The 13,878-nt window shown below is 37.3% G+C and overlaps 1 protein-coding gene across 10 annotated transcripts in view; it reads right to left on the bottom strand.

Moving 5' to 3' along the window:
• The window catches only part of TBC1D19 (TBC1 domain family member 19), a 282,243-nt gene that overhangs the window by 94,368 nt on the left and 173,997 nt on the right, over positions 1-13,878 (bottom strand). For 5 of the 10 annotated variants that reach the window (XR_007057937.1, XR_001741277.2, XR_007057936.1 and 2 more), the window contains 2 exons: positions 10,662-10,732; positions 176-249 (listed from right to left, as the gene is read on the bottom strand). Coding sequence is in view for 6 of the 10 variants with exons in the window: in XM_047415903.1 (XP_047271859.1) it covers positions 176-249; positions 10,662-10,732 (145 nt within the window). In the remaining 4 variants the exon portion in view is untranslated. Of the gene's footprint in view, positions 1-175; positions 250-8,328; positions 9,680-10,035; positions 10,331-10,661; positions 10,733-13,878 lie in introns of those variants that run through there. The other 5 variants (XM_047415904.1, NM_018317.4, NM_001292054.2 and 2 more) reach the window with 3 other exon arrangements.

Raw genomic sequence — 13,878 nt, 5'->3', positions numbered from 1 at the left:
GATGATATATCATCTTTCTTACTGCTAAAGTTAATCCCAAGGAATGTGACTTAGTTTTATAGCAAGGACTTTTAAAAACTGAGTTAGTCATGGGCTCCTCAGCTTTTAAAAACTGAGTTAGACACAGGCTCCTGAACAACTACAGCCATCTCCTTCCCCACCCCCAATTCCATACCATGGGATCTGGACTCTGTAAAGCTCAGGGAATAGAGGAGCAGTGCAGAACTGTTCACTGTGGGCAGCTAGATTCTGTGAAAAAGATGAGAGAAGGAGGTTGGCTTTAAATGCTCACTGTCATATCCCGACTTCATCAATAATATAATTCATTCTTCTCCAGGGGAGGAGGGAGTGAGGGTCAGCAATCAGCCAAAATATTACATTGATAAATATCTTAAAATACTTGTTAAACTTATTCAAAAAAGAAGTACATTTCATTTAAAATTAGGTGAGCTGTAACACTTTTATACTTGATTGCAAATTCTAGTCAGCAAATAAGAAATGAAAAACAACAGGCATACATATTTGAAAGAAGCAAAATTGCCTATTTATAGATAACATACTGTACATCACCTAGGGGTGCTGCAAAAAAGGATAGTAGAAGTAGTAAGTTCAGCAAAGTCTCAGGACACAAGGTCAGTTACACCAGCGAGCTCCTTCCACACAGAAGAAAACATTAGGACTTGGTGATAGACTTCCCCTAACACCCCTCTTCCTCTATCACACTTGCCCAACTTTCTGTGGTCTTTTCCCTGTCAGCACCAGAACAGAAGTTTGTATTCAAGATACTTTTATGTATTTTATCTTACTTGTGTAGACCCAGAAAATCTGAGACAGGTCTCAGTTAATTTAGAAAGTTTATTTTGTCAAGGTTGAGGACGTGTGCCCGTGACACAGCCTCAGGAAGTCCTGACGACATGTGCCCAAGGTTGTTGGGATGCAGCTTGGTTTTATACATTTTAGGGAGGCATGCGCCATCAATCAAGTACATTTAAGAAAGACATTGGTTTGGTCCAGAAAGGCGGGACAACTCAAGGCGGGGAGGCTTCAAGGCTATAGGTAAATTTAAACATTTCCTAGTTGACGGTTGAGTTTGTCTAAAAACCTGGGATCAATAGAATGTTTGGGTTGTGGAGACCAAAGTTTTATCATGCAGATGAAGCTTTTAGCTAGTGGGCTTCAGGGAGAACAGGCTGTAAAATGTTTCTCATCAGACTTAAAGTCTGTGTTGATTTTAATGCTGGAGAGGTATAGTGAGGCATGTCTGACTCCCACTTCCCTTTATAGCCTGAACCAGTCTTTCAGGTTAAATTTTAAGAGCCCTGGCTGAGGAGGAAGTCCATTTAGATGGTTGGGAGGTCTTAGAATTTTATTTTTGGTTTACATTCGATCATTATCAAAACCACACAAGAGAAATTAAGACAGGCAGAATCACCTATTTTATAAAAAGGGTTATTAAAACAATGTGAATTTGTTATTTTCATACGTTACAGTTAATACAGTAAACTTAATTTAGCTGCGAGGAGACAGATTATCTCTTATTGCTGTCACAAACTATGACCCACATAGGAGCTCAGAACAATACAACATTATTATCTTACAGTTCTGGAGGTCAAAAGTCCTACAATCAAGGTGTCGGTAGGGATGCATTCCTTCTGGAGGGTCATGGGAGACTCCATTTCCTTCCAGCTTCTAGAAGCTGCCTGTATTCCTGGCTCATGGCCCTTTCCTCCAGTTTTAAAGCCAGCTGTGTGACACCTTCAAATCCCTCTGTGACTCATACCCTCCTGTTTCTCTGTTTCACTTTCAATTATAAGAACACTTGTCATTACATTGGGCCCACCTGATAATCCAGGATAATCTTCCCATCTCAAAATTGTTAATAACATCAGCAAGTCCCTTTTGCCGGTAAGGTAACATATACAGTTTTCAGGAATTAGAACATGAATATCTTTGAGGAACCATTATTTTTCCTATCACAGGAAGGATGGCGCCATTACTTTAAGAAAGAGGTGCTAAGATTCTATTTTCATAGGGGGTACTGTCTCTTACCACATTTGATACTGAAAAAGCAATCACACAAATACCTGTATACATTGAAGGTCCAGCAGAGTACCTTGCTCAGAGTAAGTATTCAATGTTTGTTGAGTAAGTATATGTACACTACATATCTAAGAAAAAAGTTTTAAGGATAAAGAATAGTTGAATAAGTAATTAAAAACCATTTTCTAATTAATATGACAAAGGCATTGATAATACCTGAAGCCAGCTGTTTAAGTTAAAAGGATAATTTTAAGAAGCCATGTGAATGATCAGCAACATAAAACTTAATCTATCTTCTCTGTATGTCAGTATTGCTCCCTACCTCCTTCTGAATCTGTCTCACTTTCCCCTACTGTTTTATTTATTTATTTATTTTGAGACAGATTCTCACTCTGTCACTCAGGCCAAAGTGCGGTGGTGCAACCTCGGCTCACTGCAACCTTCATCTCCCAGGTTCAAGTGATTCTCCTGCCTCAGCCTCCCAAGTAGCTGGGATTACAGGCATGTGCCACCATACCCAGCTAATTTTTCTTTTTTTTGTACTTTTAGTAGAGACGGGGTTTCACCATGTTGGCCAGACTGGTCTCAAACTCCTGATCTCAAGTGATCCGCCCACCTCAGCCTCCCAAAGTGCTGAGATTACAGGCGTGAGCCACCGTGCCCATCCTCCCCTACTGTTTTATAGCTAAATTGGCCAAACTATTGTTTATAAATATTGAAAAATATTTGTTAAACTTATTCAAGAAATAAGTACATTTCCTTTAAAATTAGGTGAGCTGCAACACTTCTGTATTCAATTGCAAGTTCTAGTCAGTGCATAAGAAAAGAAAAAAAAGCATACCTATTTGAAAGAAACAAAATTTTATTTATTTATGGATGACATACTGTATATATGGAAAATCCCAGGGAGGCTATAAAAAAGGATAGTAGAAGTAGTAAGCTTAGCAAGGTCTCAGGATACAAGGTCAATATAAAATATCAATTGTATTTTACATTTTAATAACAAAAGATTGGAAATTGAAATAAAATACCATTGTTTAAATACAATAGCATCAAAAAATGTGAAAGAAGTAGGGATAATTTTAACAAAATATGTGCAAGAACTGTACATTGAAAACTACAAAATATTACTGAGTAAAATTAAAGCAGATCTAAATAAATGGAGAGATATGCCATGTTTATGGATTGGAGGACTCAACATTGTTAATGATATCAATTATTTCCAGGCTGATCTATTAAGCCAATGCTATCTCAATAAAAATTAACGCAGACTTTTTACTTCTTTTGGTGCAGATTAAAAAGTTCTTTAGAAATGCGAAGAAGCTAGAATGGCCAAATAGTTTTAACATACGTGAATAAAGTTAGAGGACTTACACTACCTGATTTCAAGATTTACTATAAAACTACAAAAATCAAGAGAGTGCAATATTGAAATTAGGTTAGACAAAAATTCATGAACAGAATAGAGGGTCCAGAAACCAGCCCATACACATAATCAGTTAATTTTATACAAAGGTACTGATGTGAAAGGGAAAAGACAGTCTCTTCAGCAAATGATTTATATCCACGTGCAAAAACAAAACCTCAACCCTTAACTTGCACCATACACAAAAATTAACTTGGAAAAAAAGCGATCATAAACCTAAATGTATGAGTTAATCTTTAAAGTTTCTAGAAGAAAACATAGGGAAAAAAATATTTGTGACTTTGACTTAAGCAAAGATTTCTTGGAGAGGAAGCAAAAAATATAAACCATAAAAGAAAAAATAGATAAATTGGATCTCAACAAAATTAAAACTTTTTCTCTTTAAAAGACAGTTAAGAATATTAACTATCTCATAGTTAAGAAAATTAAATATCCTATAGGCTGGGAGAAAATTTTGCAAACCATATGCTACATCCAGAATAAAGACTCCTTACAACTTTCTTTGTTTTGATACAAGGTCTCCCTCTGTCATCCAGGCTGGAATGCAGTGGCGGGATCACAGCTCACTGCAGCCTTAACCCCCAGCCTCAAGCGATCCTCCCACTTCAGCATCCCCACCACTCCCACCAGTAGCTGAAACTACAGGTGTGCACCACCATGCCTGGCTAATTTTTTTTGTATTTTTTGTAGGGATGTGGTTTTACCATGTTGCCCAAGCTGGTGTTGAACTCCTGGGCTCAAGCCATCTTCCTGCCTTGGCCTCCCAAAGTGCTGGGATTATAGGTGTGAGCCACCACACCTAGCCTATAACTTAGTAAGATCATTGATTTAAAATGGACAAAAGATTTGAACAGATACTTTACAAAAGAATATGTATAAATGGCAAATAAGTATGAAAATATGCTCAATATCATTAGGAAAATACAAATTATAACCACTTATTAGAATGACTAATATGACAACACCAAGTGTTGGTAGTAAGGATTGGGAAACACTGGAACTCATATACTGTTGGTGGCAACGTAAAACAGTAGAACCACTTCAGAAGAGTTTGGAGGCCTCCTTCTAAGTTAAACACGTGCTTACACATAACCCAGAAATCCTACTCCTAAGGTATTTACCCCAGATAAATGAAGATATATGTCCACATGAAGGCTTGTGCACAAATGTTTATAGTAGCTGTATCCATAATACACCCAAACTGAAAACAACATGAATGTACATTAACAATGGTAAATAAAAAAATTGTGAAATACTCATACAATGAAATCCTAGGCAGTAGTAAAAAGGAATGAACTACTATCACATAATATGGATGAATCTCAAAACATGCTAAGCAAAAGAAGCCAGACACAAAAAAGTACATATGGATGATTCCATTTACGTGAAACTCTAGAAAAGATGAATCTAATCTTTAGGGACAGAAGCAGATGAGTGGTTGGAGTGAATGCGTGTATGGGGGATTGGATGGGGAGGGGCACAAAAGGAACTATTTTGGGAGATGGAAATGTTCTATATCTTGATGTGGTGGTGGTGACATGGGTATATACATTTGTTAAGACTTATAGAACTGTACACTTAAAATGCATTTTATTTTACATAAAATATACATATAACTTTATTGTACATAAATTATACTTAATAAAGTTAACTTAAATGAAAAAAAAGAGTGACTGAACCATTTCATTTTTTCCTCTGAAAATATTCTTTCCTTTTGGACTTCCAAAGGCAACTCCGCAAATTCCTTTATCAGTAAATGAGTGAATTAGAATAGATGATGTCATTCGTTCATTCAATAAATATTTACTAAAGTCTATTATGGGGCAAACACAATGCTAGATTCTAGAGATATATGGCTGAAAAGGAATCCAATTTTGTCCTCAAGGAGTCACAGTCTAGTGGGAGTGAAAGACAAGCTAACTTGATTATAATACATCTTATGTATATGTAGGGGTTAAGGATTCTTAAGAGAAGCAGTCTTCCCTGATGATGCAATACCTGAGGTGGGTTTTGATGTACAAGTAAGAGTTAGGTAAAGAGGGAAGAGAAGGCATTCTAAGCAGAGGAAGCTGTAAGGGCAAAGGGCCAAAGGCAAAATATGTACCTTGTATTAGGTACTTCGAGTAGTTCAGTAGGTCTGAAATATACAATTTATCCTTGTAAGGTCATGGTTGTGTCTTGATTAGAAGAAGTTAAAATATACTACTCTAGTTTGAGCAGTGTGTAGACAGGGGTTCTATACCAAATAATGATACCCCTTATTATTGTGCATCACCTAAAAGGAAAATAACTGCCATCAGTTAGGATCCTTTCTGTTGCAAAGAAAATCCTTTGGGTCTTGTAAAAAAAATAGTCCAGAGGTAGACTGGTGCAGCACGATCTGGGGATCAACAAGGCCAAAAGAGCAGCTTTTCCTTCTCTCCATTCCTAGACTGCAGCAGCTACACAACCTACATTCTTTCATTTTCATATCCAGCTTCCCTGAAAGATTAAACCAAAGCTTCCTAATTAAGTTTCACTAGCTCTCATTGGTCTCGATTTTGCACTGGTCCTGAAGCAATCCCCATGGCCAGAGGAACAGTACATGGTGACTACTTGGCTAGGACCCAGAGGTCCTGGGGATGCAAGTCAGCCTCACCTGATGCACATGGGGAAGGGGTAGATCACTAAAGAAAAATCAGAGCATTTGTGGAAGAAGGAAGACTAGATACAAAGGAGAAATTATGTTTTATAGAAAACAGATCCCAACAATTTCTGAGTAGGTCAAGGGATACAGACATACATGGACAAATTTCTGCTTGCATCTTCCACATTTAGGACAGACAAGTAAATGAAAACTGCCTTGAGAATAAAGTGACAAAATCAGAACACATATCCAAAAAGCTATCACTTAATACTATAAGCATCATATGAGTGATGAACAGTTTTATAAGAACAAGGAGAAGGGCATAATTAATTTAATTTATAGGCTCCATGGTATCTTCACAACAGAGAAAAATTTTGGGGGAAGGCCTTGAGAAATGGAGAAGATTTTGGTGGAGACAAAAATAAACAGCCATATCTGGTTGAGAATCAGCATGGAATCTGGAGAGGCTGAAGTACAGGATAATGGATCATTGTGGGAACATAGGAATGAAAAGACCAAGCGATGAAGAATTTTTCCTGTTATGCTACAGAGCCCAGCTTTTATCCTTTAAGCAATGAGAAGTTGTTGAGTTTTTCAAGCATAGAAATGGCACAATCAAATCTGCATTCAGAGAACTACAGGACTAGACTAGACTAGACTAGACACTTCTTAATGCAAGAAGGAAGGAGATAAATCTGGGGGGAGAGAAAAAGCTAAATTCTGAAGTAGAAGGCTGAGACAACTCAAGCTTAATGGTCTCTATTTTCCCTGCAAAATAGGAGAAGAGAGCACATGCTGAGTATGGGGTGTTGTGAAGTTAAGACAAGCTGGAAATTTCTATTAGCCAGAACACTGCCTTACCAGAGCATTCTCAACAAAACCATTATTCAATAAACTCTTCTATACTATAAAGTCATAACATATCACATTAGTGGGTGAAATGACACCCTGAAGAACCAAATACAATTTGCCTATTAGGCTACATCAATGCCAATGTATCACTGTTTACTCCAATCTTTGTAATCACTGGCAGAGCAGATGTGAAGGGGGTGTCAGGGGTTGGAAGGAGATGGCACAGGAGGATGCAAGAGGAAGAAAGCCAAATGAAGGAGCCTAAGGAGGCGTGGTTAAAGATGGAGCGGACAGGTCCGGTGTGGTCACTCACGCCTGTAATCCCAGCACTTTGGAAGGCTGAGGCGGGTGGATCACTTGAGGTCAGGAGTTTGAGACCTGGTTGGCCAACGTAGTGAAAACCTGTCTCTACTAAAAATACAAAAACTTAGCCAGGTGTTATGGCGCATGCCTGTAGTCCCAGCTATTTGGGAGGCTGAGGCAGGAGAATCACTTGAACCCAGGAGGTGGAGGTTGCAGTGAGCTGAGATCGCATCACTGCACTCCAGCCTGGGTGACAGAGCCAGACTGCGTCAAAAAAAAAAAAAATAGCATGGGTAAGGCAGCCCGATGACCCTCAGTGCAGTGTTTTAACAAGCAGCCAAGAGCACAGCTTGGCAGAGAGGGGTCTGCGGAAGCAGCAAAGTGGGTGGTTGTCAACCAGGTCTGGCTTTGGGATTCAGATTCAGATCTACTGCCTAGAGCCACCTGTTTCAAATGAAAGGATCTGCTATGGCATGGTCCATTCATCTTTACAGACATAGTCTTAAACTATCAGGTTAAATGATAGAAATGCTAATGAAGTTGTGCATTCTTCATATATCATCTTCTACCACTTGACCTTAAAATGTCACATACAAACTAAGTACCAACAATATCCTTCATTTGCTTGGTGCTTTGCAGTTTAAAAAATTACTTTCAAATATAGTATTTTCTCATTTGGTCCTACAGGTCCTTACCTACCTGCAAGGTAAATGGAGAAGATACAATAAGTTCCTACCATTTGTTGCCAGTCCCTCAACCCCAGTTACAGATAAGAAAGCTTACATTATCTAGGGATTTACAGGAGGACCAAAATTCCCCCATCTGAGGACCAGAATTCTCCAATCTAGTGTACTAGACTATTACGTTGCCTCTTTTAAAAAAGCTAATGCATATTCTCCTAAAGAAAAAAGCCAAAGATGGGCATATCTGTATGCATGTGAACGAGATCATTTAAAACTCACTCTCTTCCTAATATTTAGCCATTTTCTCAGAGTAGATAATAGTCATGGGTGTGTGCTTGTCCTGTCAATTAATGTGCATTTGCAAACAAAGAATGACAAAGCATAGGATTATAACTGCATCACCTTCAAAAGCAATAAAATGGGGTTTATTAAGAATCAATCATGGAATAAATTATTATTCAGCTCTTAGTAAATCAACAAGCATTTTTCCTAATACATACTGCCAAAATAAAAGACTCATAAAATACATTTGGGTAAAACTGAATAAAATTCTAGGCAATCAATAAGCGTATCAATCTACTGATTTACAGTTTTAGTGAAGTGATCAGCATCTTAAATTTGAAACTAAAATCAAAGGACAATAGTTTTTGGACTTTTTACCCCACATACTATTATTCCATATTACAGAAATGGTAGGTCTTTAGGAAGTAATACAAAATAAGACCCTTCACTTATAATAAAGCCCAAAATAAGGCTGATGCCTTGCATAATGTCTGCAGTTTAGAATGAATGCCTACTACCTACTTTTAATCTCTCTCAGCTGCTCTGCCCTAGAAGTAAATCTTGTTAAACCAAGCTTCAGCAAAAGTGAATGGGGTTTTGACTCCTCATTCTCTTGGGTGTCTTCCTTGTATAGTTACAAAGTAACAGAAGCTGGCAACAAGCATCGGCAATGTCAAGTCTTCTAAGCAAGAGAAGGAAGGTTGAGAAGTGAAAAGGGATCACCTATAATTTTCTGACTTTCAGAGAGTCAAGCATAAAATATTGTCAAATGGAGACAATTGTATTCGACCTTCCCCAGTAGAGATGTTTAAAGAGAGAAATAAAATGGAGAGAAATGTAGAAAATCCCTGGGGTGTAAAAAGTTGCTTAAAACACCATTTAAGCAACTTTTGAATTCCTACTTAAAAACATTATCTTTTTCAAGTGTTCTCACACCCTACCCCACCCCTGGCTCTTAGTGAGGAGCAATTTATGAGACAAAACAATACATTATCTAGAGATAAATTTATAAACTGACATAAAAGAATTATCCAAGAAGCTACATTACCTCTTGAAGTTTATTACAGTATCTTTAGTTCTTATTGCATATATTATTACATGCCATTGACAAGTCAGGATTATATATATATTATAATATTATATATATAATGCTCAATTTAGCAGAAGTTGTGTTTATTGCTTCTCTCTTGAAAATCAGCAGCATGCGATGCAATATTTGGTGCAGAGTTATTGTTTCAAAAAGTGAGAAACTACTTAGGTTTAACTGAAGAGGGAACATGATCTTTATTGGCTTATATGCAAAGTTTCATTTTGGTTTTATGCAGAGTTTGCATAGTTCATGATTTGTTTCTAATGAAAAACTAGATGTGTTGCCAGTGACTGTGAAGAAGATCAGGTGACAGTAGCAAACAGAAAAATCTGAAGAAGAGGCATAACTTTTAAAGTAGAAAGGTCAGCAAGAACTGCCTGAAACAAAAAATAAAAAGAATTATTAATAGCAAAGCGAAGTCTATGAAATAAGGTAAACATAATTACAATGTAATTTTGACACTAAGCTCCTTCTTTGGATTTGTCCTAAATCTTAATACTAAAGCTACAACTTTCCTTCTCTTTTCAGAATATCTTAATGTTAGTACATGTGCAAAATGCTGAAATGTGCTGTAGAAAATAACCTGGATGTTAGCCTCAGTCTTCTTCAAATATACAAGGTAGCATGAGTTTATAACAGGTTTAACATTTCAACTTGCTTCTATAAATAAGCATACATTATGAATCCTAGTCCTGTTATTCTAGTGTAAGTAGTAACTGACTGCAGGAAATCATTTTGAGATGGAACTAATGTTTATTCAGTTACAAGATGCATAAACATCCTCTTCCCTTTAAACAAAAATGCAGGCAGCTATTTTAAGGAAAAATTTATATTTCTGTGAAAGATAACAAATAGAATAATACAGTAAACACTATTTAATTGAACCATATTTCAGGTATAAATTATACCACTGAAAAGAAATCAGCTTTAAATAATTAACTCACAATTTAAAATAACCAAAAAAGCCCATGTATCTTCACTATATCATCCAAATACATGCTCTTTAATTCTCTCAAGTGGTTTTTCTTCTGTGAAAATAATGCATGGACATGAACGATAAAAAAATGCAACATAAACCCCAATTGTTTCCATTAAAATTACCAGGTATCTGGTTTCCCATATGGTTATAATGGTTTCCTATAATAATCTTGTTTATTACTCCTTCATAAGAAGACTTTTCTCAAGTAATTAAAGAAATTTGAATCCTTAAGTATTATTAGCTCAGAACTTAACAGGTTTTACCCGAGTTAAAAAACCTGGCTACAAGTAACGCGTGTCCTATGCAACAGACACTAAAATGACAGCCTGGCAATCTCTCAGAAACTATTTCCATCCCATCTGAGTGAAACTTATCCTTACTTCAGCTGCAGCCAGTGATGTCACCTCCATCAGGTTCACTGCTCGGAAAGCAAACACGGCAGCTGCCAGCACTGGAAAAGAATGCACACTACTTCAACTGCTGGCCTACTCATCAGCCCGGCACGGTTACTGCTATGCTATGCCCAAAATCCACTGCACGGAAACTCAGAACTAGTGCTTTACACAACGGACCACACCCCCGCATTCTGAATTAAGGTCTTGTGATGAATGGAAATTGTCTGCTCTAGAGGACAGTGCCTGATGGCCAGACAAACTGAATACCACAGTTTTGAGAAAAAGGAAAATTCAGTGTTCTTAAAAAAAAGCCATTTTATAAGTTATTTCTTTCAGACCTACAACTTAAACCACTTTAAAATGGCATGAAGATCTAATGAGTTTTTTTTGTTTTTGTTTTTGTTTTTTGGTAGAGATGGTGTCTTACTATGTTGCCTAGGCTGGTCTTGAATTCCTGTGCTCAAGTGATTGTCCTGCCTCACCCTCCCAAAGTGCTGGGATTACATGGGTGAGCCACTACGCCTGGCCTAATGACTGTCTTACTGATTAAGGTTTATTTTGGTGCAGGTATTTCTTACTAATATAGTAGACAGACTTCTGAAACGTTATACAGAGGCTGAATTTTTAAACAGATTATGTTTCATATGTAACAAGGAGGTGTCCTGATAGAAACATGGCTTTAAAGCCTTTTCTTAAAAAATATTTTTATAATTTTTTGTTATATTTTTATACACAGCACTGACTTTCTTAGAGTGTCACAAATGGATATATCTGTAGGGAGGGCTGCTGTGGGATTGATCCTGACATTTAATATAATGTTGGCTACAGGAAAAAAGAAGTGAAACTTCAAAAAAATCCAAACATTACAGGACAACTTAAAGGTCAATAATATACATTAAGTAGAAAACAACACTGGAGGCCAAGCATGGTGGTGCACACCTGTAGTCCCAGCTAACTGGGAAGCTGAGGCAGGAGAAGTGTCTTGAGCTCAGGAGTTTGACAGCCTGGGCAACATGGCAAAAACCCGTCTCTTAAAAAAAATTAAAAACAGCATTTGGATTATTTTTTCCATTAAACATACGCACATGGAAAAAGAGTAATGCTAACATGCAAAACTTATATAACCTACCATAAAACTCCATGTGAGGGAGTGAGTCATAAACAACAGAAGGACCCATTTGAAAGGCAGGTGACCCTGATAAGGAGATGGTACTGCTTGGAGCTAACTCTTGACTTATCTCCTTTTCTCTCCATCACCAGTGATGGTAGTGGATTCTCTACCCAACAAGTCATTGAAGTTTAGGAAATTAATGGTAAGAAATATTCAAAATACTGGGCACAGTGACTCATGCCTGCAATCTCAGTGCTTTGGGAGGCTGAGACAGGAGGATTGTGTGAGCCCAGGAGTTGAAGAACAGACTGGAAAGCAAAGCAAGACCCTGGTCTCTACAAAAAATTTAAAAAATAAGCCAGCCACTGTGGTGCATTCCTGTAGTCCCAGCTACTCAGGAGGCTGACGCAGAGGATTGCTTGAGCCCAGGAGTTCAAGGCTGCAGTGAGCTATGATTGTGCCACTGTGCTCTAGCCTGGGTAACACAGCAAGACCTCGTCTCAAAAAAAAAAAAAAAAAAAGAAAGAAATATTCCAAATTATTTGGAAGACTGGTTCCTAGGTATACTGCATACCTAATGCAAACACATATATTTTTTAAAATACATTTTTACAAAGAGAATAAGTCATTCTCATACCAATTCTGTGAGTTAAATACTATTAATAGCCCATTTTACTAATATAGAGAGTGAGGCATAGTAAGTGGGGTGACACGTTCAGAGGCACCCAGGTAGAAAATAGTAAAGCCAATACTCAACCTTGGCTCTGGAGTTGTGCATCTAACCACTATGTGAAGATACTATTGAGACTGAAAGTAAGCAGCAACTACTCATCTCTGACATGAAAATCTGTGTGCTTTCCTAAAAATCATTGGCTCTGCTGTCTATCAGAATGGCTTTCCAGAGATGGCATGAAGGATGCTGCTACAGTGGTCCTGGTCATTGTGCCTAAGGAACAGAAGTCAGCAGCCAGGTCTCTTAATTTCCCCAGATAAAGGCCAAGTGCAACCAGTAACTGGGAAGCACAGGCACTTTTCTAGGGGACTAGAGATTTTGGACAGTCGGGCAAAAAAGCATTAGAACTCGTCAGAGAGAAAAATTCTGGAGAAAAAGATGAGAATGGTAAAATTTTAAAAGTCAAGTCAGCTGGAGTTAGTGAATATGTAACAGTAGATACAAGAGATCTGCAACAAAGGATTTACTCCTTAACTGAAATGAAGAAAACATGAATACTTTAAAGTCACTGAGTTTCATGTTTACAAGAATATCAAAGAAAACTATTTCTGTAGACCAACAATTTTTTACCACTTCCTAATATCTGGAATCATATTTTATATAGTGCAGGCATTTTAGCAGTTAAAGAGTATGATTACTACTTCCTTTTTTGTATATAATTGAACATAGTTGCTGAAAGCTTGACAGTCTGGCCAAATTTTCTGCTCCAGCAGGAAAGAGTTTTACACAGTGGGAAACTGTTTCTCCAAAGGTAGATAAGAAGGGGAAAAAAAGAGCAGTTCACTAATTGACCTCAGCATCCAAAATGCTTATGTGCTCATAACCTTTATTTATCTTGGTGTCACATCACAGAAGTTCCTTTCCATCTGCCTCATGTTTGGTTTGCCCAGCCCTTCCACAGAACAGGTTTGTTTGCCAGGGAGGAAAGGTCTACACTTTGGGATATTTTCAACTGAAATTATGCTTCATATGAAATATAGAGGCTCTAATATTTTCTTTTGGTCTTATTACTTTAATTCTAAGCAATTCTATCGAGAACATTAAGATAACTTTGCTTTAAACTGTTCTTCAAAAGGCTCTAATTAATTCACAATTAAAGCCAGTGACATTTATGAAAATATTTCTCAAGACTACATAGTAACCCACTTGATCAGAAAAAGGTGATTCCAAAATACTCATACCAAAAGTATACGAAATAATCAAAACTAATTTGTATACATTTACATGAAATTATCTACCCTGTGATTCTTTATCTGAATTCCATGGTAGGGGAGCTTCCTTCAGTCTAGTTCCATTTCTAGATGTTCCAGAATTCTTCCCTGTAGATTTTTTTAAAGCACTCAGGGAAAATGGGTGGA

Source organism: Homo sapiens, chromosome 4 (genome assembly GCF_000001405.40).
Source record: "Homo sapiens chromosome 4, GRCh38.p14 Primary Assembly".
Taxonomy (NCBI): Eukaryota; Metazoa; Chordata; class Mammalia; order Primates; family Hominidae; genus Homo; species Homo sapiens.
This window is presented reverse-complemented; position numbering and strand designations above follow the sequence as displayed.